The sequence below is a fragment of the Homo sapiens genome, chromosome 5 (genome assembly GCF_000001405.40).
Source record: "Homo sapiens chromosome 5, GRCh38.p14 Primary Assembly".
Lineage (NCBI taxonomy): Eukaryota > Metazoa > Chordata > Mammalia > Primates > Hominidae > Homo > Homo sapiens.
The window spans coordinates 93,385,959-93,412,120 of record NC_000005.10 but is presented as its reverse complement, the minus strand read 5'-3'; the positions used below and the strand labels follow the sequence as shown (position 1 = coordinate 93,412,120).

Below are 26,162 nucleotides of genomic sequence, written 5' to 3'. Positions count from 1 at the left end.
TGATGGTGTAACTAATACACAAGGTGTGACTGGATCCTTCCATGCTGCCCTCATGGGGGCTTTCCTACCTAGCTGATGTTTGAAGTTTTCATGTGTGCCTCTGTCTTTGACCCACCTGGCTAGTTCAGAGCCTTTGCTGAAGAAAATGTTCTTTGCTTGTCCGATTGCTTCACAGCACGCTTCTCTATCTGCAACTGTTGTTTCCCAGCCATCCATATGGTGCCACAGGATGGGACACAGGCAGGGACTTTACTATTCACAAAGGGGTAGGGCCTGGGACCTCGAGTGGGGCTTTTCCTGCTTATAAAGACAAGGAATGAAAATGCAGAATCCTTACCTGGTAGGGGAACTTTCTTTTCCAAATATGCAGGTATGTGATATTTCTGATTTCCTTAGGCTTGGATCTGTGCCTGGGGGTGAGATGGATTTCAAAGTCATTATTTAAAGTAGGGAGATAAAGCTTTAGACAACCACCATAAGAGATCCTGGTTGTATTTTTGAAATGTTGAGCGAAATAACATTTTAGTGATCAGTAAAAGCTAACCTTTGTACTTCTGAAAAGTTGTTCTTAGAAAGGCCTGGATTAATAATTGGTTTCAATTTGCCCACAGATACACTGCCTCTAGGACTGGGACAGATAGCCACTGAGTACCTGCTTCAAATCACCCTGCACGTTTTCTCTTTGGAAAGATAAGCACTGGAGAACCATCTCGTTACCTTCAGCAGAAATGGAAACAAATCAAGACATTAAGAATGCCGCAGTGGACAGCAGTTATGCAAGGTTCAGCAGAGGAAGTTTTCAAGATGGTGTGCCTCACTAGCCAGAAATCAGAAAAGATCGAAGCTAGCCTTTTCATCTCAGCTGCTCCTTAAATCAGTGCAACCCCTCCAAATTAATGTGAATTGAAACTTGCATTGCTTTTCAACTTAATTGAATACTTACTATATGTGAACCACTGCACAAAATAGGGGAAGAAGATGTGGGAGACAAAGATGTGGAGCCTGTCTTCAATAAATTTACAGTTAGTTTCAGGGTACATTGTTTTTCTTCTGCTGTTAATTAGGTGTATCCCCAAGACAATAAATACATGAATGGAAAAGTATATTCTGTGTTTTAAGTCTCTTTAATAAAAAACAAAACAAAATCCAAAAAAACTCCTAACATGGCAACTCAGGACATTTTAATCCTTTTTTTTGTTGTTGGGCTTCTGATAGGATCCATTTTATTGATTCCATAAATATTTAGTAGACTTTAGACATATTAATACATTGTAGTTTGAGTTAATTTGCATTAAATTCTGTTTTTTTCCCCTTAGGTATAGATTGTCTGTTGGAAAAATATATTGCTTGTGGATTTCTTGGGGAGTGGGAAGGTGAATTATACCTGTTGTCTCTACAGTCCACTACCTTCCACACCCTAGGGCAGTGGTCCCCAACCTTCTTGGCACCAGGGATCAGTTTCCTGGAAGACAATTTTTCTGTGGATGGTGTGGGGATGGTTTTGGGATGGAACTGTTCCACCTCAGATCATCAGGCATTAGTTAGGCTCTCATAACGAGTGCGCAGCCTAGATCCCTCACATGCACAGTTCACAGTAGGGTTTGCGCTGCTATGAGAATCTAAGGCTGCCACTGATCTGACAGGAGGCAGAACTCAGGTGGCAATGCTTACTGGCCCACTGCTCACCTCTTGCTGTGCGGCCTGGTTCCTAATAGGCCATGGACCCCCACAGACGGGTACTAGTCTGCAGCCTGTGGACCCCAGCCCTAGGGGCCTGCCATTCTGAGTGAGTTATTAGCATGAAGAAGAGGAAGATCTGGATCAAACGTGGGTGATGGTACTCAGAGACCCAAGATAGGATAGGGATGGAACAAAATCCATCTGGGCAACGGCTCTATGAAAATTTGGCTAAGTAATTATTTCAGTATTCATTGTATTCATTGTCCTTCGTGTTCCATAAGTTAAATGACTGTCTAATTTTTCCAAAAATTTATTTCTGACTTGAGAATAAGTGTGTCATGATTTTCCCAGTGTAAAGACACTGATATAACTGTAGATACCAGACATTTTATGTAGTGTCTATGACACATTTTAGTATGTATGAGCCAACAATAGACATGTCTTTGTCTTGAGGAGTGTCCATCTGAATTGAAAATGTGTCAGCTTTTTTTTAACATCATCAACAGACTTCTTAATTAAGCTGCCAATACATACTGCCAATAGCACTGTGTGCTGTCTGAGAAATGCATTGTGTAAGTGCTATTTCCATCTTATTAAATAAACAATGTTGCTCTGTATAAACTGGATTTAAAGTGTTCTTTGAATGAGGCATTATATTGCTCCATAAATAATGTGATGTGAATTCTCATATGATCCCTTTTAACTTAATTTCTAAAAAAATATTATTTGCTCCTCAGTAAGGAATAGCTCTAATTGGACTGGTAACTTTAGTGATATGATTTGTCTGTAACAGGCTGAATCGCCCCACTCCCAAACTCCTGGTCGTGATACTGGATATTTGTTATGCCACTTTTAGTTTGCATGAGGTATCTTCCAGGAAGTATTAGTTATTAACTTGTGTTCTACTAAACTGTAGATATTTATTTCCTGTTCTGGAAGATTTCTTGGAGTGTCCATCTGTGCATTCCTGGTGCCTAGTGTAGTCTTGCTAATGGAATAGCACCTTTATTGGTGCTACTTAGGGGTTGGTAGCTTACAATCAATCTACTTGGAACGTATCCAAATAAACTGGATATTTTTATACAGTCTAGTCCCCTGGGCCTCTTACTTGGTGTCTTGGATTTGCCAGTTCAGCCGTTATTTGTACCAACATCCACTCTGCTGCCCTGGGCCCTGCCGCACTCTGTATGCATGGACAGGGCTTTCAGAGGGGCTGCTCCACTTGTCATGTGCTGCCCCATCTGTCAATAGAATAGTAATTTCTCTATTCACAGGGTACTCACGGTGTGTCAGGCAGTGAGATACTTTACACATATTCTCTCAACTATCTCCTTTAAACCTCACAATAACCATTTGAAGTAGGCACTATGCACTGTGGAGGTATGCTATCTTGCTTAAGTTGTGGGACTCCAAATCCAGACCTCTTGAACTCCAAAGCCTGAACTATTCACCCCTACTCTGTGCCATATCCTAGGAGAAAGTCCCCATGCCTGGTGTGTGTATGTATGTGTGTGTGTGTAGGGTAGATTGAATCTGGACATAGTCCAGATTTACTGCATTTAATATTCCTGAACAGCAAACTGTCTAACAGCTAAAACCCAGCAAATCACAGTTGTTTTGAGAATGGAGGAAGGGCAGAGCAATTGGGAGAAAGCAAAGTTGGAAACAAACCAATTTGAGTCAAACCATTGGCCTTTACCTCATACAGTTTTTTTTTTTAACTTACTTTTTTTAACATGGCCTGACACCATGTGATAAATCAAAGCCTGACGCAATTGACCCAGAATTGATCCCCAAATGTCTTTTGGGGGAACATGCTTTAACTCTGGTTGTTGATTCTGAGGAATAATTGCCACCCTAGAAAGGTAATTACATATGCCATTGTTTATACACATAATAGGCTCAGAATGCATATTCTGCACAGAGCGGGAGAGAATCCTGCTTGCACATTTGGGGTGTGGGCTATGTATTGTGTTAAGATGCCACAAATAGCATTCAAACTGCTCCCTGTTACTGCTGCTTTTCCCAGCGTGTGTGTGTGTGTGTGTGTGTGTGTGTGTGTGTGTATAAGGGAGAGGTTAGGAGTGAGGTAGGTTGTGGGCCGTGGAAGGCTGTTTGTTGAGCTGAATGGTAGTGATTTGCTTTTCCTTAATTTTTTCGTTTACCAAAACATTTTTTGGATCTAATTCATTTAGCTTGGTCTGGTAAAAAGACTATTTTCTCTGTGCTTGACATATGCTTATTAATGAGTTATCATATTTCTTTCCATCAAGGGCTGTTTACTTTGTGGAAATTTACAGTGAGAATCCTTCTCCACAACATCCTCCTAAATGCCCTGGTTTTGACCACCCCTTTAAGTATTAAGGTGGTAACTAGTGCCTTTCCTCTGCTGTGCTTTCTGGTCAAACATAAATGGAATTAAGCCACAAATGACCAATTAAAGCACTTCATGCCTTTTTCCTTTAGCCGTAAGACAGTAGTTATCCTAAGTAAATACAACAAACAGGCTATTCTGGGGTAGTCTAACACAAGGAACCTACTTTTTAAAAAAATCAAAGTCTTAAAAAAAAAGTCATGACTTTTCGTAGTGCTGCACAATGAAAGAAATATGTATGTATTCCAACATGGAACTGAACATTGTCTGAGGCCGAAGCAATCCATCGTGGGCTATTCTCTGCCACAGTGTCCAGCAAATTGCATGACCTGCTTGTTAGGCTTGACAACAGTGTTTTACCTAACAAAGGCCTCTGCAGCGCCGAGCAGCAGTGGAATGTCAGAATGAGCACATTTCACACACAGATGTGCAGCCATAATAGCGCATAAGAAGATGCATGTGGCAGGAGGCTGAGGGTGGGGGTGGGGTGAGGAGGGGTGCTTGCAGTTGTATGGTGTGTGAGTGTGTAGGTTGGGGGCCGGAGGGAGGGGGAGGCTAACAGTTAGCAGTAGGGATGTGGCCCCACTGACCACATTTAATCAGCCCTCTGTAAACAATTCCACATTTTCATTGTTCTCTAAAAACTAATAAAGAGAAACAAGCACTTTTCATTCATCTTGAAGTAATTTTCTGTCAGATTGGAGCCCCTCGTGGCCTCCAGCTTGTGCAGTGCTAGCTGTGTGATACAACAACTATTGCAATTTATTTTACAAACTCTGGTCATTCACATGTCAGTTAGTGTTCACCAAGCCGGCATCTGAAATTGTGCAGTTAACGAGTTTTACAACATTTCTATCAAGAGAAACTGTTTAGCATAACTGACTCTTAAGGAGTTATTATACCTCTAAAAATCCATTTTAAGGGGCATTATTTAAATAAAATAGAAAAACGGTTCACTGCCTTTTAAAGGGGCTACAAAAAAAGTCCATCAGCTCCAGCGCAGTAATCCTCAGCTTAAAGCACTCTTGAGAGTACTTCTGGGAATTGTCAGCATAATGAAATGTTTTGTGAAATGTCCAGATAGATTCCTCTACTCAACAATTTAACTGTACCATATTTATTTTCCTTCCAGTTTTTAAAGAAGTGAATTACTTTTGGAGAGGATGACTCTATGTTGTGTAGATTAACTGAGCACATTTTTATCGAGGTTGTAGCAGGAGCGATGGTTCTGTTTGTGGTGTCATCTATATGCATCCGCAGAGAGGGGGAAAGAAGAGAAAGGCAGCCTTTTCCCCTGTTAGTGCTTTGGCTCCAAAAGGGTTAAATCACAATGAGGCTCATAGAGTTTTGCATTTTCCTTGTGCCACATTTTTCTCAAACTTTTCAAAAACTTTGGTACACAATGGCACCTGTAAATACTTTCTTTAAACTTTACAAAATGGACTGTTTTCTTACCCTAAATAAATAAATGCAGGAAAACCCATACATGTGTACATTGACACATGCATAATGATGCATATCATTTGAAAACTGGCCCATTTCAATAGGAGACGCCATTGTACATTTTACTTAAAGAAGAATAGATTCCTCACATTAACTAAGATGGCCAGTGACCCCAAACCAATTAATGGCTAGAGTCCATAATGGCGGTGCTATATAGCATAGAAGCAAGTTCATTTAGCATATTCTGTTACCTAACAGGAGTAGAAGCCACCACTTGCTTAATGGTTCTTTCTACAATGAGGACCAGGAGAAAATGTATGTTCTGCTGTAACAGGAGATATTCCTTTTCCTTAGGAGGTATATCTAAAACACTGCACATTTTCATTTTGTCACAAACAGTCCTCTAATTTCTCAGATGGATGTTTGTGCACACGACTTTAATTTTCTGAGGGAGATGGGCAGGTGTTCTTGTGCCTGTTAGCTGTATCTGCCCATAAGAAGCATAGTAACATCCATGAACCAAATACAATTTGACATAATTCATACCTTTATTACCTCCTACAGAATGATATTATTTCGTGCTGGCACATTAATGTTTCCAGCACGATACTGTCATTCCTGGAAATTTTACTTTCTGAAGTTCAGATGTTGAGGAATGAGTTTTAAAATTCTCTAAGTGCCTTAGATTTGGGGCAAATGCAACATATCCCAGGTTCAGATTTTTTACTCTTTTTAAAAATATTTGCTGGCATTGGAAATAATGTTCAGGTAATGGGTAAAGATCATGTCTGTAAACTCTCACCTCTTCTTGACCAAAGAGCTTGTTCCTATTCTATTTCCAATTTTGTAAATACAATATAGTCAACTTATCATGTCGTATTTTGCTGCTATTTGTTCCTCTAATGATGTGAAATCAGGAGGTGTTGATCAAAAATGTTCCAGTGATTGCAACTTGAATCTATTTGGTACTGTACTTAAATTTTTCCTAATACTCCAGCACTCAGAATTAGGGCAGATGGAATGTATTCATTTCCTATGGCTTTCATAGCAAATTACCACAAATTTAGTGGCTTAAAAAAACACAAATTTATTTTCCTACAGTTCTGTAGGTCAGAGTTTTCACTGGGCTAAATCACTTGTCAACAGAGCTGCATTTGTTCTGGAAGCTCCAGGGCAGAACCCGTTCCCTTGTCTTTCCTAGCTTCTAGAGGCCACCTGCCTTCCTTGGCTTGTGGCCGCTTCCTCCATCTTCAAAACTAACAATGGCAGGTCAAATTCTTCTCACATGGCATGTATCTTTCCCTCTTCTGTCATCACATCTGTCACTCTCTGAATCCAGCTGGAAAATGGTTTTCACTTTTAAGGACTCATGTAGTTAGATTGAGACCACCTGAAAAAAATCCAGGATAATCGCCCCATCTCAAGGTCCATGCACTAAATTACATCTGCAAAGTCCCTTTTGCTGTGCCAGATATCATATTCACAGGTTCTGGAGATTAGAACATGAACATTTTTCGGGGACCATTAGTCTGCTTACCACACAGAGTCTCCAAAAGTTCTCTTCTATACCAATATTTGGAGGATTAATAGCAGTCACCAAGCCAATTGTCTTCAAACTATAAAAATTATGCACAAAATTGCTTAAAAATTTACAGTATGAACCTCCAAATATGTACATTTTCTTCTAAGTTATACTACCATTAAGCTCTATATTTTTACTGCTAGTAAATCTTCCTTTCTTTTTAGTGTATAAATGAATAAAATATCTAATCTAATGTTTTTTTTTTGCATCCCAGTGCATTATCTTGGGCACCCCCGTGTGCTCCTCATTTTTGATTAACCTGGGTAAATGTGGCTCCTGATTCTTCTTTGAGACCCATAAGGCTTCCAGGTGAGGAAGGGACTACAGAAACTTTCTGATAGTCCCTGACAGTTTTTGGAAGTGAGGAGGAAAGTCATTTATTTTCTTAGCATGCACTATTACTGCTATTTGTAGTTACAGAATGTAAAAGACAGAATGTAACATGCCCAGAACTTTCCTGGAAGTCGAGAGCTGCAAATTATGGAGTTACAAGACAAATGCCATTTTATGAAAGACTAGAAAGAGATTGTTTATCAGAGAGCCCCAAAACATGAGTTAGTTTCTTGTCTAGAAAAGAGCCATATCTCATCAGAATGACTACTCATGTCAGTGCACTTGGAAATTCCAAGAAACAAATTGCTCAATGACCATTTTAAACACTAGTAGCAAGGTCCTTGTGAAACTGGGCTGAAAGAAAAGGTGATTTTGCCAAGTTCACTTTAAATCATATTTTTCAATTGTTAAAAACATCTATATTTTACCAGCCATTCTTTATTGCCATGGCATGTAGGCTTATTACAGCATAGGAAAACCAGAAATTGTAACACAAACCTACTGTAAGGCCCCCTTGTGTTAAAATTTGAGATGTTTTCAGAGCAGTCACCCTCAAAAATGGGTGCTTGCTAAGCCATGCTGACACACCTCTGAAATAAAAAAGCTTCTGCTGGGCAAATGAAAGTAGGTTGCCACAAAAATGTATATCAATTATGAAACAAGTTAATCAGTGTTTGCCAACTGCCATAAGTGTCCCGGAGGCAGTCTGGGCAGTATCTTTTTATTTGATTTGCCCCAGACAACTTCCATTTTCTTCCTGAAAGGTGGACAGGTAGTCTAAATTCTTTGTTGAGAGTTTCTATCAATGATCTCAAAATGCAACTGATAACATGTCAATGATTGCTGTACAAAGAAGTTAAGCATTACAGCTAAATTTCCCTACTGAAACCCAATCCAGGGATTAGCAACAATAGGGAATCTGTTTTATTTGCATTTAATTTGTACCTTCACACTATTATCTCCCATGTTTTAGTTTCAGGAAATGTGGTCCCAGGCTATTATAACCACATTTCATGCTGCTGTTGCACTGTTATTTGATCTCTATGGTTGGAAATGACTTACTGAAAAAATAAAGCCAGCATACTTTATTTTAATTATACCAGTGCAGTGTCTAAATAAAAAATGTACTTTATATTTAATGTGGAGCACAGATTAACAGTTTTATGGGACATAAAATCTATCTATATCATTTTCTATTTACACATCAGTTATATATCTTTCTCTCAGCAAAACAAATGCCTATGGTGTGAAAACGGGAAAGGAGAGCATCGAAGTTACAATCACATGGGCAGTAAATAACATCTTAATTGGTCTGGAATGCCAGAGTTTGATTTTTTTTCTGCCTGGCTTTTATTTATTGATCTCTGTAGCTTATTTATCTTTCCAGTGATTTGTACAAGTCTATCTCCTTTCCTCAATAAGCCAATCTATGGTGGTTTTATATTGCAAATCCCATCTGGGGAAATGGTCTAGTGAGAGAAGTGCACTTGCTCCTGGAAAAACCATTATTCAAAAGCTTTTGCAGAAGTAAGGGTAACTTCTCAGTTTTTATACTTTGTCTTCTGGAGAAAAGAAGGAAAGAAGAAGTGCCGCTATTATGAAGTTGCCACCCAACGTGTGTTTCAACAATTCTTTACTCTCCACTTGTTAGGCAGCAATAAGAAAACAAAGAAGGATTTAGCGTACACTGGGAAATATCTCTTAAATGTTCCTGTACGTGATTTAGTTCCTGGCGAGAGAAGCAGACAGGAATGGATTGTGTATATCTAATACATCATATGTAAACCCTGGCTTTTCTTCTTCTATATGCATTTTTACAGCTCCATTCCTAATATCTTTTTAAAATAGCACTTTAGGATAAACTACTCTTCAAATGACACATTATGCTCCATAGTGCAGTTAAGAACCAGCAAATGTAACCACTCTCAGGAAAGCTGCTTGGCAGAAAATCCGACACTTTTTCTAGTATGTAGATATCCATAGTTGAAGTCAATCCTGGGAAATTAGTGACTTTTTTCCCCTTTAAATGAATGATCCCCTTGTTATTTGTCAAATCGGCAGTTCCAGTATTTGTCGTGATTCTATTTGATCTCACAGAATATTAGATGAGTGCTCCAAAAGATTTCCTCTGGTGATAGCTGAGGGAAAAACAAGTTTACAGATGGCATCGCTATACCTATATAAGTGATGCTTTGCAAAGTGATTCTATAAGAATGTTCCAAAGAAGAGACTCTGATATTCCATCATCACCCTAATGTAACCTTAACCACCTTGAAATGAGCTCACGAAAATTTTGGGTAGGACTTCTAGAAAATGCATTTGCATTTGACATAATTAGTGGTACACAGATCTCACTACATCCAGGGGGAATCTCAAGACAACTGCTTTGTCGACTATTAGTGCCCAATTTCTGAATGTCAAACCCGGCACATCTTAATTTCTAGAGAATAAGCTCAATTGAACTTGTTCCCCAGTTATGCAAAAACTGCTCAGATAAAACCAAGTGGACACCAATGTAATGAATGTGGTTATTAAATTGTTTCAATTGAAAGAACCCTATTCTTACACCATCATAATGGGAACAATTTATCCCCACTGATCGGCCTGTCTCTCTCTTTCTCTCTCTCTCTCTCTTTTTCTGAGCTCTCTTTGATCTTGAAGCATATTGCAGTGGTGTGTCCTATTGAAAAGCGAAACTGGGGCAATTTTAATGCTTTTGTACCTTACCAGTGCTCTATTTTTTCACTGTTTAAAAATAGCTGTTAATTATAAGTGCAGTTTAAATGTCTCAAGTGACCCAGAAATGCAGGTTGGAATGAGACAGATTGTGTGTCTCATATAAAACAGATGTACTTTCACAGAGCATTCTGAATTCAGCCTTCACTCTGTATCCTCCTCTTGGGTTATTTCAATCAGGTATTGAGCTGGTCTAGCACTGTGCTATAAAATCCCACACATTTGAACAGGGGAAAAAAAGCAGATTTTTTTTTTTCCAACACGAAGAAAAGCCTCTTTTGTATATCAGTCACTACTATGTGGTGAATATGGTGCCATTGATGTTAGATAATGGGACAAAGATTACTTTCCTGGCCAGGAAGACCATATGATTTTCTAGAGCTCCATCCTGCCTGTCTCTTGGGTCAGGGGGCTCCATGTTAAAAGAGCACTGTAATAGTGATAAACATATCCCCTGGGGTCCTTCTTCAGATTTATTCAATAGTGTCCAAGGACAAATTTACCTCCTGCTAGATCTCAAAGATCTTTGACTCTTGATTGGTTTCAGAAACTTGCGGTTTTAGCTCCTTGATCACACTCGGCCCTGGAGATAGTGACACTGCTGGTTATCTGTCAGGGACCAGGCTTTAATAAGCTATGTGCTAACTCAGTAAAATCACTCTACCAATTTATTCTTCTATTGTCTGAACAAAACTAGTACTTACCCAATTATATGTGTTGGTATACAGTAGGCTTGAAGGTATGCCTATGTAATGCAGTTCCAAGAAGTGATTTCAAAGCTGAGTTTAGAATAGAGTGCATTCCAGTGATTAGATGATCTTATCCAAGCCCCTTAAGATCTTTGGTACCCACCCCAAAGCCTCCTGAATCTGAAAAGTTGAACGGTCGGAGAATTCGAGACTCATCCCCCTTCCTCCACTTGGATTCAGATCTTGTGGTTTGATCTCCCTTGCTAGCAAAATGGAAACATGTCTTAGAAGCGGGAGGGCAGTATATGTGCACTGGCTTCCTACCTGCTTTTAACTAGTAATGCCTAACAGGAGTTCTTCATTGCCATAGCAATGACATTGAACATAGAAAGGTGTGGGCTTAGGGAAATAATTTTCAAGTTCTTCCTAGAAAACCTTGATATTTTAGTCAAGTTCTAAGTGCAGACACTGATTTGAATACTTCTTAAAGCTCTTTTTTTTCATTTAAATCAATATTTTAACTTCATTAATTGATTTTATTTAACCATTTGAATTTGTCCAATAAGATTTATTCCATTTAGTACTTGTAATCTTGTAAGTAACAGTCCAAGGCAGTTGGGTTATGGTCTCATGCCAAGTTGATGTCTTATTTTTAGGAAGAGGAACAAGTATGGCATCAGAGAATTTTAATGGAATATATATCATAGAGAGTTGAAAACAAATTTAAAAACAATTCTTTAATACCTTGTAAACATATTCTCTTCACGGGGATACATTTCTATTGTTATCAGAGAAGTGATGATAAACACACTAATTGACAAGGTATAAATAATACTAATTCTAAGCAGAGTATCTATGAAAATAGAACAAATTACTGTGTAAGACATATGGGGTTGGAAGTGTCTTAGAGCCTTGTTGACTAATCAGACTATTGGTAGAAGTGGAAAAGACTAGTGTCACCCTGCAGACACAGACGGCCACTGGTTGTGCATGTTGTGTTGGCACTGGGCCTGTGAAATCCAGGCCTGGATAAGAGTCTGGATAGATGTTAGGTGTGAGGATGGGCTAGACTCTGGGTAAAATGTGGCTTTGAGCAGGTCAGCATACTAGAGCAGGAATGGCCTTGTTCTAAAAGCCAGGTGATAGAATTATCTGTGGAAGCAACAAAAGAATGAAGGTCTGAGAAAACAGTGAGCTGGAAGCCAGGTAGACATTTAAGAAAGAAGGAACCTCAAATTCCAGATGTATAAATGAGGAAGTCATTCAAAACCAGGAAACTGCCAGTAACCAGGTGCTCTGGGAACTGAAAAGGAATGATCAAACAAGAAAAAGCATAGGTACGAGGCCTTGGAAACAAGAAAGGACTATGATGGATGAGGCAGCTTTCCTGCTTTGGGTGCCAGAGGAAGGGAGGGACTTCAATCAGAAACCCAGGAGGAGGGAACAGGTGAGGGAATTGGATGCGGGCGTTGCCAAGATGAGAGCTGGCAGGCAGATGTTGAGGACTGCTGGGCCTCAGGAGTTTGCAGAACTACTTCTTAGCTCCATTCTCTGGGCCCCAGGCCCTGTCTCCATGATGGTCCTTGTCCTGCAACCCCCTCAGAAATTTCCCAGTCGTAATCTACTTTGAGCTTTTTCTCAGACAGGCTATCTAACACAAAAGAAGGAGGCTCTACATCAAGATAAACGCAAAGGCTATGGGTAGTTCTAGGCATTCTCAGTTCTCTTTTCTAATTTGTACTTTCTACAGTGATCCTTTGTTATTTTTGTAAGAATTAAAAAAATTGGTAAGTTAACTTAAGTGACATGGTGGAAAGAATTAGGACTTCTGAGTCAGACTGACCTGAATTCAAATCCTGAACTATCTTTTATCTCATAGGTCTATGACTTGGTCAAGTTACTTACACTTCAGAACTATAGTTGACTTGTCTGTGAAAATGAACATAAGACCAAAATGGTTATTTATCCCAATTCTTCCATATACTCTTTCACACAAAGAGGAGAATTTGCCCTCTGCTTCTTAAGGAAAAAGTGACAGAGGAACTTTTCCATATTTTCCCTTTTTTACTTTGCTCATTGGAACAAGGAGTCACTTATTGATAGCATAATTTGCTTATTTGGTCTCTCTTCCTTTCCCTCTCTATCTCTCCTAAAGAATGTGGACTTTTTTTTTCTTGCTGTAAACTAAGCTTATAGGAGTAGGCCTTATTACTGTGGGGAAAGTTTTCCTTTTTGGAGAGGTACATTAGGAAGTCCATTTGACAGCAAATCCAAGTCACACTTTCTAGTTCTGTTTTTCAGGCTTAAAGCTGACATTTTAATCTAAATTGGTGTGATCCTTGGGACTTATTTCTCAACTGGGTCTGCACTCAGGGTAAACAGTAAACAATAGCAATAAAGACCACCACCTGCCAGCCCTTCTCCTGTCTCCATGGGTATCAGACTGGGAAATCAAGTGAAGTGCCTAGCTCTGTGCCTGGAAAATAGTGGTAATTCAATAAATGGAAGTTAATAGTAACGGTCATTATAACGGTAGCTTTCTTACCATTATTACTAACATGATCCTGGGGGCATCACTATTTCTCTGGGCTGGCAAGCCTTTTCCTTTCCTTAGCTTTAATCTATTATGGACCAGCAGAGCTCTTTTTAAGGATCCATCTGTCCTGCTATATTCACTACTGCAGCTGTTTCCTTCCTGTAGTATCAAATATTATTTTTCATTAGTGGATGCAGAGCACTTTTTCTGTTTTTCCTAGGGCCCCATGACTGTTTTAGGGCTATTTAGGTATGCAGAAGAGCAAAATATTAACAACTCTACCCTTGAACTTAGAAACAGGAAGGGAATTTTATGATAATCCCCAAATTCCCAGCCTCCCCACAGGTACCTTCTGCTCCAGCTAGCAGGACTGATTCCAGCTTTGGTTAGAAGGAAATTAAGTATTTAGTTAACTTAGAATGAATTTCTCCCAGGGTGCCAGGCCTGTTCTGTCCCAAAGCTCACCTCTGGACAATGGAGTCTCCCTGTCCTGCAGCCAACACTTCACCTTGTTTCACAGTCCCACAATGCTATGTCTATTTGCTCTTTCTCTGCCACGTCCTTCTCAGGACAGCAGTTTTGCCCTCTGCAGCCTGTGCTGCTCCTGCCCTCCTAGATCACTCCACTGTGCTTGTTTCGAGACTCCATCAGGCCTCCCTGTCAGCATGGCGGCCCCTTGTGACCTGAGTCTACTCCTTGCCTGACTTGTACCTCTCAGCCATCATTGTCTGGCTGTCTTCCTCCTACCACTCACAGCCAACAACGGCTCCGGTTACCTGGCCCATTCTATCGCGGTGAGATTTTAAGAGCCACGCTTAAATCCCATACCTTTCTTCTGACCTCTCTTCCCCTGTCTCTTCTGATTCCTTAGAGCCCTCCACCACACTGGCTTCCTCAAGCAGCACTCCTGCTCCAACATTGCACTTGCTGTTCCCTCAGCTTGCAATCCTCTTCCTCCAGAAAGTCCCAAGTCGCACTCCATCCTACCATTCAAGCCGATTCAAGTCCTACCTCCCCAGAGAGGCTCCTCTTGACCACCCAACCCCATCACTCTTCATTATGCCCTTTCTCAACTTTAGTTATTTTTTTAATTGCCTCTTTAACTACCAGATCTTAGATTATATTTTTATTTGTTTGCCTCTTTATTATGTCTTCCCCACCCCCAGAATATGAGAAAGCCCCACGAGGGCAGGACTTTTGTCTATCTTGTTCACAATGTACAGAGCCTAGAACAGTGCCCAGCACATAGCAGGTATTCAGTGAATCACCCATCCTGTTGACAGCCTGGTTCCATCATTCTTTTTTTTTTTCTTTTTTTCATTTCTTTTAATAGAGATGGGGTCTGGGGTCTTGCTATGTTTCCCAGGCTGGTCTCAAACTCCTGGGCTCAAGTAAGCCACCCGCATTGGCCTCTCAAAGTGCTAGGATTACAGATGTGACCTACCACACCCAGCCCTGGTTCCATCATTCTTAATAAGTTTGCTTGACTATTAGTAAAGTGTGATGGGAATAACAGAAAAAATATTAATTTAGAAGTATAGAAAATTTGAAATCCCCAAAGCTGTGAAAACAAAAAGTTATTTTCTTTTCTGGCTAATTCATTTGGTATAAAACCTGACCTGAGCTTGTATAGTCCATGTGTAATATTTACTTATCTCATATATTTATGAGCTCATATGAATATTCATGTTTTACTACACAAATATTAATGTGTTTGATTTCAGAGTGCTTCTCCAAACCTTGAATATAATATGCATTATATGCATTATATTAACCACAAAATTGAAAAAATTACTAGTTCTGAATATGTTTGGCTCCAAAGATTTCAGAGGAGGGTACACAGATCATTATATGCAAACCTTTGTCTTTCTTTCCCTTCTGTATTAGTCCATTCTCATGCTGCTATGGAGAAATACCCAAGAGTGGGTAATTTATAAAGAAAAGAGGTTTAATTGACACACAGTTCCACATGGCTGGGGAGGCCTCAGGAAGCTTACAATCACGGTGGAAGGGGAGGCAGACACGTCCTTCTTCACATAGTGGCAGGAGAGAGAAATGCAAGCAGGGGAAATACCAGACCCTTATAAAACCATCAGATCTCCTGAGACTCACTTATTATTACGAGAGCAGTGTGGGGGAAACTGCCTTCATGATTCAATTACATCCACGTGGTCCTGCCCTTGACATGTGGGGATTATGGGCATTACAATTCAAGGTGAGATTTGGGTGGGGACACAGAGCCAAACCATATCACCTTCTGAAGAGAGTAATGAAGGGGAAAGAGAAGTAAAGAGGTAAAGAGAATTAGTATGGGGTGCAATTAGGAGGTAGTATGGAAGAATTTATGGAGAGAAAGGAGGGGAGAGGACAACTGCCTTTATCAGTAACTTTGAGATATGTTAAGATTAAGGAAGTGAGCCTGGCTGCATGTTACGCAATGCAATTCCCTTATACTACTAAATCCAGAGACCTTCAGTAAAAACTAACATTATTTTTTAATGGTTTACATACTTAGATTTTTATTTTGGATGCAGCACTGTGCTGATGTTACCAGAGCAGCCCTGATGAAATAACTGAGAAAGTTCTCTTTCTTACTGTTTTTCTTTAGTCCTTTTATTTATAGGCATAGCTGCTTAAAGAAACCAGATGGCCTGGGATGGTGCCAGAGCTTCTTGACTCTTGATCAGATACCAGAGGAGATAAGACCCCCAAACTGGCACAAACTGGAACAGATGACCCCTAGTAGCCTTTAGATCATTAACATATCATTATAACACGAACATTCCTTTCCCTTAAAGAAAATTTCTGCTATTTTATGTACCGGGGTTGTATGAAGAAATACATTTATGAATTGAGCCTGCATATCTGGAGTCCCATCCTGCACATGCTAACATTCCTCCTCCTCATGATACTCAATTCTTAAAAACCCCATGCCCTCTATTGTTCAGGGAGAAGCGCCATTTAGAGCAAGAGTCTCTCCTTCTCCATTCCAGGCCAGTGAATAAAACCTGATTGTCTTTTTTCTTTGTGACCAACAGAGTGGGGAATGAAGTCAGTTTGCTGGTGACACTGAGATTGAGTTTAATGCACCCAGTACATTTCTGGCTTCATGAACATTCATAAGAAATAGCATATCTGTTACTGGTTTATACTGAAATGTGAAAAGTTCAATGTATTCCTGCTCTGAGAGTTCTTTTCTTTTCAGAGTAAAAGAATATGGAATTTTAGCTCCAGATCAATTTCAAGAACAAATCAGGAATCCCGAGAGGACCCGCAGACCCTCTGAAGGAAGCAGACTGCTCCTGTAGAACCCGGGAGACACCCCAAATACTGGGAGTGCCCCAACTGCAGAATTGGGAAAGGGAGAGCCTCCTGTACTGAACACACAGCTCCACTGGAGAAACTGAAGGTCTGTTTGTGGGAGAAGTTTCTGACTTTACCTGAAGCTGAGTCAATTTAGAGAGCTGAGCAGGGGTAGAGGAAGCAGCGGAAAGGCCTTGGGAGCTGACTCAGTCCCCTAGCAGGCCATTCTTGCCCAGCACCACAGGGATCCATTGGGAGGGTGGCCAGAAGAGTGGGAGGTGTTGGGGAACACCACAGGGAAAAGGTAATCTTCAGCTAAATTTTGTAACAATTTGAACAGGGTGAGAAGCTTCCTGGCCAGAACTCAGGGGAGGGCACAGAACTGTTGTGCAGACTCCACTGGCAGAGGAAGAACCAAGCCCTTTACTTTTGCAGCTGGGAGGCGTACTCGCCTGCCTCACCCACAACCTGGAAACAGACTCAGGGTCTGTTGTGGGGGGCATGGTGGGAGTGAGACCAGCCCTTCAGTTTGCATGGGAGCTGGGTGAGGCCTGTGACTGCCAGCTTTTCCCCACTTCCCTGACAACCTGTATGAGTCAGCAGAGGCAGCCATTATCCTCTTAGGTACACAACTTCAGTGACCAGCGAATCTCACCCCCATCCGCCATAGCCACTGCTGCAAGACCCGCCCAAGGAGATTCTGAGCTCAGACATGCCTAGCCCTGTCCCCATCTGATGGCCTTTCCCTACCCACTCTGGTAGTTGAAGACAAAGGGCATATAATCTTGGGAGTTCTAGGGCCCTGCCCACTGCTGATTCCTCCCTAAACTACCGTAGCTGATACTCCCTGGAAAGCACCACCTCACAGCAGGAGACCAACCAGCACAAAAATAGAGCATTAAACCACCAAAGCTAAGAACGCTCATAGAATCCATTGTACACCCCTGTCACCTCCACTGGAACAGGTGCTGGTATCCATGGCTGAGAGGCCCACAGATGGTTCACACCACAGGGCTCTGTGCAGACAACCCTCAGTAGCAGCCTGGAGCTGGGTAGACTTACTGGGTGGCTAGACCCAGAAGACAGACAACAGTCACTGCAGTTTGGCTCACATGAAACCACATCCATAGGAAAAGGGTGAGAGTACTACATCAAGGGAACACCCCATGGGACAAAAGAATCTGAACAACAGCCTTCAGCCCTAGACCTTCCCTCTGAGAGAGCCTACCCAAATGAGAAGGAATCAGAAAACCAACTCTGGTAATATGACAAAACAAGGCTCTTTAACACTTCCAAAAAATCACACTAGTTCACCAGCAATGGATCCAAACCAAGAAGAAATCCCTGATTTACCTGAAAAAGAATTCAGGAGGTTAGTTACGAAGCTAATCAGGGAGGCACCAGAGAAACGCGAAACCCAGTGCAAGGAAATCCAAAAAATGATACCAGAAGTTAAGGAAGAAATATTCAAGGAAATAGAAATTAAAGAAAAAACAATAAAAAATTCAGGAAACATTGGACACACTTATAGAAATGCAAAATGCCCTGGAAAGTCTCAGCAATAGAATTGAACAAGTAGAAGAAAGAAATTCAAAGCTCAAAGACAAAGTCTTCAAATTAACCCCATCTAACAAAGACAAAGAAAAAAGAATAAGAAAATATGAACAAAGCCTCCAAGAAGTCTGAGATTATGTTAAACGACCAAACCGAAGAATTATCAGTGTTCTTGAGGAAGAAGAGAATTCTAAATAGAAGAATAATTGAGGAAAACTTCCCCAGCCTTGCTAGAGACCTACACATCCAAATACAAGAAGCACAAAGAATACCTGGGAAATTCATCACAGAAATATCCTTGCCTAGGCACATTGTCATTAGGTTATCCAAAGTTAAGGTGAAGGAAAGAATCTTAAGAGTGTGAGACAAAAGCACCAGGTAACCTATAAAAGAAAACCTATCAGATTAACAGCAGATTTCTCAACAGAAACCCTGCAAGCTAGAAGGGATCAGGGCACTATCTTCAGCCTCCTCAAACAAAACAATTATCAGCTAACAATTTTGTATCCAGTGAAACTGAGCATCATATGTGAAAGAAAGATACAGTCTTTTTCAGACCAATGCTGAGAGAATTCGCCACTACCAAGCCACCACTTCAAGAACTGCTAAAAGGAGGTCTAAATCTTGAAACAAATCCTGGAAACACATCAAAACAGAATCTTTTTAAAGCATAAATCACACAGGACCTATAAATCAAAATACAAGTTAAAAAACAAAAACAAACAACAAAAAAACCAAAGTATGCAGGCAACAAAGAGCACAATGAACGCAATGGTACCTCATATCTCAATGCTAATAGCATTGAATGTAAATGGCCTAAACGCTCCACTTAAAAGATACAGAACTGCAGAATGGGTAAGAACTCACCAACCTACTATCTGCTGCCTTCAGCAGACCCACCTAACACATAACGACTCACATAAACTTAAAGTAAAGGGGTGGGAAAAGGCATTTCATACAAATGGACACCAAAAGCAAGCAGAGGTAGCTATTCCTATATCAGACAAAACAAACTTTAAAGCTACAGCAGTTAAAATAGACAAAGAGGGGCATTATATAATGGTAAAAGGCCTTGTCCAACAGGAAAATATCACAATCCTAAACATATATGCACCTAACATTGGAGCTCTCAAATTTATAAAACAATTACTGACAGACCTAGGAAATGAGATAGACAGCAACATAATAATAGTGGGGAACTTCAATACTCCACTGACAGTGCTAGACAGGTCATCAAGACAGAAGTCAACAAAGAAACAATGGATTTAAACTATACCTTGGAACAAATGGACTTAACATATATATACAGAACATTTCCTTCAACAACTGCAGAATACACATTCTATTAAACAGCACATGGAATTTTCTCCAAGACAGACCCTATGATAGGCCATAAATTTAAGAAAATTGAAATTATATCAAGCACTCTCTCAGACCACAGTGGAATAAAACTGGAAACCAACTCCAAAAGGAACCTTCAAAACCATGCAAATACATGGAAATTAAATAACCTGCTCCTTAATGAGCATTGGGTCAAAAACGAAATCAAGATGGAAATTAAAAAATTCTTTGAACTGAGTGACAATAAAGACACAATCTATCAAAACCTCTGGGATACGGCAAATGTGGTGCTAAGAGCTAAGTTCATATCCCTCAATGCCTACATCAAAAAGACTGAAAGAGCACAAGCTGACACTCTAAGGTCACATCTCAAGGAACTAGAGAAACAAGAACAAACCAAACCCAAACCCAGTAGAAGAAAGGAAATAACCAATATCAGAGCAGAACTAAATGAAATTGAAACAAAAAAATTACAAAAGAGAAATGAAACAAAAATCTTGTTCTTTGAAAAGATAAGTAAAATTGATAGACCGTTAGCAAGATTAACCAAGGAAAGAAGAGAGAAAGTCCAAATAACCTCATAAGAAACAAAACAGGAGATATTCCAACTGACACCACTGAAATACAAATGATCATTCAAGGCTACTATGAACACCTTTACGCACATAAACTAGAAAACCTGGAAGAGATGGATACATTCCTGGAAAAATATGACCCTCTTAGCTTAAATCAGGAAGAATTAGATACCCTGAACAGATCAACAACAAGCAGTGAGATTTAAATGGTAATTTAAAAAAATTGCAAACAAAAAAAGTCCAGGACCAGATGGATTCACAGCAGAATTCTACCAGACATTCAAAGAAGACTTGATACCCATCCTTTTGACACTATTCCACAAGATACAGAAGGAATCTTCCCTAATTCATTCTATAAAGCCACCATCACCCTAATACCAAAACCAGGAAAAGACATAACCAAAAAAGAAAACTACAGACTGATATCCTTGATGAACATAGATGCTAAAATACTTAACAAAATCCTAGCTAACTGAATCCAACAACATATCAAAAAGAGAATCCACCATGATCAACTGGGTTTCATACCAGGGATGCAGGGATGGTTTAATATACACAAGTCAATAAATGTGATATACCACATAAACAGAATTAAAAACAAAAATCACGTGATCATCTCAATAGATACAGAAATAGCATTTGACAAAATTCAGCATCGCTTTATGATTAAAACTCTCAGCAAAATCAGCATACAAGGGACATACCTCAATGTAATAAAAACCATTTATGACAAACCCATTACCAACATAATACTGAATGGGGAAAAATGGAAAGCATTTCCTCTGAGAACTGGACCAAGACAAGGATGCCCACTCTCAACACTCCTCTTCAACATAGTACTGGAAATCCTAGCCAGAGCAATCAGACAAGAGAAAGAAATAGAGGGCATTCAAATTGGTAAAAAGGAAGTCAAACTGTCACTGTTTGCTGACGATATGATCGTTTACCTTGAAAACCCTGAAGACTCCTCCAGAAAGCTCTTAGAATTGATAAAAGAATTCAGCAAAGTTTCTGGATACAAGATTAATGTGCACAGATTGGTAGCTCTTCTATACACCAACAGCAACCAAGAGGAGAATCAAATCAAGGACTCAACCCCTTTACAATAGCTGCAATAAATAAATAAATAAATAAAATATTTAGGAATATACCTAACCAATGAGTCGAAAGACCTCTGCAAGGAAAACTACAAACTACTGCTGAAAGAAATCAGACGACACAAACAAGTGGAAACACATCCCATGCTCATGGATGGATCGAATCAATATTCTGAAAATGGCCATACTGCCAAAAGCAATCTATGCAATCCCCATCAAAATACCACCATCATTCTTCACAGAATTAGAAAAAACAGTTCTAAAATTCATATGAAACCAAACAAGAGCCTGCATAGCCAAAGTGAGATTAAGCAAAAAGAACAAATATGGAGGCATCATGCTACCTGATTTCAAACTATACTATAAGGCAATACTCACCAAAACAGCGTGGTACTGGTATAAAAATAGGCACATAGACCAATGGAACAGAATAGAGAACCCAGAAATAAACCCAAATACTTACAGACAACTGATCTTCGACAAAGCAAACAAAAATATAAAGTGGGGAAAGGACACACTTTTCAACAAATGGTGCTGGGATAATTGGCTAGCCACATGTAGGAGAATGAAACTGGATCTTTATCTCTCACCTTATACAAAAATCAACTCAAGATGGATTAAGGACTTAAACCTAAAACCTGCAACTGTAAAAATTCTAGAAGATAACATTGGAAAAACCCTTCTAGACATTGGCTGAGGCAAGGGTTTCATGACCAAGAACCCAAAAGCAAATGCAATAAAAACAAAGATAAATAGTTGGGATTTAATTAAACTAAAGAGCTTTTGCACAGCAAAAGCAACAGTCAAAAGAGTAAACAGACAACCCACAGAGTGGGAGAAAATCTTCACAATTTATACATTTGACAAGGGACTAATATCCAGAATCTATAACAAACTCAAATCAGTAAGAAAAAATCAAACAATTCTATCAAAAAGTGGGCTAAGGACACGAATAGAAAATTCTCAAAATAAGATATACAAATGGCCAACAAACATGAAAAAATCCTCAACATCACTAATGATCAGGGGAATACAAATCCAAACCACAATGTGATACCACCTTACTCCTGCAAGAATGGCCATAATAAAAAAATAAAAAAACAGTAGGTGTTGGTGTGGATGCGGTGATGAGGGAGCACTTCTACACTGCTGGTGGGAATGTACAGCCACTACGGAAAATAGTGTGGAGGTTCCTTAAAGAACTAAAAATAGAACTACCATTTGATCCAGCAATCCCACTCCTGGGTATCTACCCAGAGGAAAAGAAGTCATTATTTGAAAAAAGATACTTGCACATGCATGTTTAAGTAGCACAATTCACAATTGCACAATCATGGAACCAACCCAAATGCCCATCAATCAACGAGTGGATAAAGAAACTATGGTGTGTGTGTGTGTATATATCTGTCTATCTATCTATCTATCTATCATCTATCTATCTCTATCTCTATCTATCTATCTATCTATCTATCTATCTATCTATCTATCTATCTACCTATCTATATGATGGAATACTACTCAGCCATAAAAAGGAATGAATTAACAGCATTTGCAGTGACCTGGATGAGATTGGAGACTATTATTCTAAGTGAAGTAACTCAGGACTGGAAAACCAAACATCGTATGTTCTCACTGATATGTATGAGCTAAGCTATGAGGATGGAAAGGCATAAGAATAATACAAGGGACTTCGGGGACTTGGGGGAAGAGTGAGAGGGGATAAGGGATAAAATACTACAAATAGGGTGCAGTGTATACTGCTCAGGTGACAGGTGCACCAAAATCTCACAAATCACCATTGAAGAACTTACTCATATAACCAAATACCACCTGCACCCCAATAACTTATGGAAAAAAACTATTAAAAAATAAAAGAGTATGCATAGATCCTTACCAGAATATTAAGAAAACTATTTAGATAGCTCTGAGATCAATCAATCAAATAAATTAATACATTGAATATAGGATAACAAGTTGAAGATAAATTTAGGTTGGTATTCAAATATTATCTATTAAGCAATTATTTGAGTAGGTATTGTGCTTGGAACTTTCATGTATGTCATATTCGGAATTAATTAATTAATTAATTAATTTTTTTTGAGACAGAGTCTCGTTCTGCTGCCCAGGCTGGAGTGGAGTGGTGTGATCACAGCTCATTGCAGCCTCATCCTCCTGGGCTCAGATGATCCTTTCACTTCAGCCTCCTGAGTAGCTGGTACTGCAGGAATGTGCCACCATACCTGGCTAATTTTTAGTGGAGGCGGAGTTTTGCCATGTTGTCCAGCCTAGTCTTGAACTCCTGGGCTCAAGTGATCCACCCCCCTTGGCCTCCCAAAGTGCTGAAATTTCAGGTGTGAGTCACTGCAACCAGCCTATTCTGAATTCTAAGGGAAATTGGGTTGATATTTATTTCCCTGTAATGTTTTTTGTCCTCAATTTAAAAAATGATGATAAAATGCTTATAACATAAAATGTACTATCTCAATCCTTTTAAGTGTAGTTTGTTGGTGTTAATTACGCTCATATTATCATGCGACCATCACCACTATCTGTCTCCCGAACTCTTTTTCATCTTGTAGAATTGAAACTCTATATTAAACAAATACCTCCCCATTCCTTTCTTACCCTAGCCTCTGGCAACCACCTCTTTTCTGTTTCTATGGTTTTAACTACTCTAAGTACCTCATGTAAGTGGATGCATCCAGTGTCTTTTTGTGGCTGGCTTATTTCACTTCACATAATGTCTCCAAGGTTCATCCCTGTTGTTCAGCATATGTCTGAATTTTCCTACAATGTTTTAATCAAATGTTAGCATATTTTCCCATCCCTCACGTGGTTTTATTTCTTAGCATGCAGTAGAATAAAAATAATATTTTTTGGTTTTTGTAATACAATGGTTTTCCTATAGTAAAATATCAAGATGATTGAAGTTGTCATTTTTCTTCTGGACATTTTGGTTATATGTTAACATGGGCTTAATAGCAGTTTATCTGGGTTGATGGGAACATGTTTCAACATTATCACTTAAATTTTTCTCACTGGTTAAAATGATTGGATCCCACATTTATAATGCTTCGTGTGTCTCTAGTACTTTATAGAGTGGCGAGAGAATTCCAGAGCCTTGCTCCCTCAGGGGGTGTTTCTCGCCTTGCTCTAGAGCAGGATGTGACTGCCTGTGGGTGACAGGATGAAAAAAAGAATTCATGCTGAATTAGGCTCCACCACTCCCAACAAGAGACCAAACCATGTGTGTAGAGGAGCTAAAATGGAAAAAATCAGACTTCCTGAAGCTGGTGGTGTCGTGATAATATTAGATAACTGTTCTAAATTAACTTTAGTTGATATATTGGAAAATGCAAAGATTTGATACACCAGTGGCAGGCATAGTATGGTTAATTTATATAATGTGACAAGAAAACTAGCATTTGGAAACAAATTGGTAATTATCAAAGTAATTTTTGCATCTCCTTTCACTCTGTCTTGGGGAATTAGCTTTTGGGTATTGCCTAGGTAACAATATTTCAATTTCATTCAAAATGATCACTATTATGATAGTAGAGATCAAATTTCATTAAATCTAGACACATAGTACTTTTCATTTAAAAAACCCAAAATCTCTTCTGTTTCTTAAAGGAATACCCAATATTGTGTGTACTAAAAACTGTAATGTTAATAACAAAATATTTCCCACTCTTGGTATGTACGTAAGAATTTCGCTAAGTACCTACTACATGCCAGGCCTTGTGTAAGGGGCTGTAATTGCATTCTTTTAATTCTCACAACATTGTCAAAGGAGGGAATTGTTAAGCTCATTTTACAGATGTGGAAATTGAAGTTCAGAAAAGGTAAGGATGTGATCAAGGTCACCTAGATAGCAGCAGATTCAGGATTTGAGCGTGGGTTTATCTGACTGCCAAAACCTTTGGAACCTTCCATAATACCGTGTTGATTTCTCACCTCAAGCAAACAAATGATGATAACTCATAAGAGGCATAAGTGTGTTGAGTGTTTCCAGGGGAAAAAAGTTTAAATCCACATGATGACAGAAAATGACAACCTATAAAATGTTCCAACAACTTGTAAAACATGAGTGATGTTAGAAAAGCTTCACAAGAATTAAAATGACTAGCAGACATCTTGCAAAATTTGCAGATGCAAATCCTAAGATTTAATTATTTTTGAGCTAAAAGAGTTACATATTTCTCTTTGTACCTTAATTTGGCTTCTTTTTAAGACCCTAGGTATTCTGTGAGAGCAAATGGGATTGGAACTCTGAAGTTTGGTCAAAGAGAATATTTCTTTCATGCAAAAAGCAGAGTATTTCAGAATAAGTACTTGAGCAGGGATTCTTTAAGTGGAAGTGAGCAGGGCTGTTACCCCTGCCCCCTGCCCTTTATTGCCACCACCCATGTCATAACGGGGGCAGAGATTGTGCAGTGTGAAAACCAAGCAGCACTTTGTTCCATTGCTCTGATTCAATGTTAATAAAAATATTTAATTTGTTATAAATTTTAATACTAAAAGAAGGCATAAGATTTTGATACATATGAAAGGAGGACATGAATTTCAAAACATTGAAAACACTTCACTAGAGAGAACTCATTCCTTATAGATTTCTGCCTTCTACTGATTTACTAGTGCACAGAAACATCAATGTTAGACTTGCTTCTTGAATGGATAGCTGACAAAAACAGGGCATCTCACTTATTCCAGTAACACTTTATAAGATAATATAATTGAAAATAATTCATGAATTAATTAATAATTTCTCCCATAATCAAAGAATCCCCTTTGAAACTTCTAAGTGCAAGTAATATATCTTTTGACTGAGGTAAAATGTTATACAAATCCACTTTAATCATTTCACTTTAATTATTTTAACCTTCCTGTGAACAGTTCTGTGTCATTATCATGGCTTT

General features: G+C 39.2%; 1 long non-coding RNA gene across 40 annotated transcripts in view; it reads left to right on the top strand.

Moving 5' to 3' along the window:
- The window catches only part of NR2F1-AS1 (NR2F1 regulatory antisense RNA 1), a 176,234-nt gene extending 173,469 nt beyond the window's left edge, over nt 1-2,765 (top strand). For all 40 annotated transcript variants that reach the window (NR_186217.1, NR_186215.1, NR_186218.1 and 37 more), the window contains one exon: nt 612-2,765. This is a non-coding gene — a long non-coding RNA (NR2F1 regulatory antisense RNA 1). The remainder of the gene's footprint in view (nt 1-611) is intronic.
- The last annotated feature ends 23,397 nt before the right edge of the window (nt 2,766-26,162 follow it).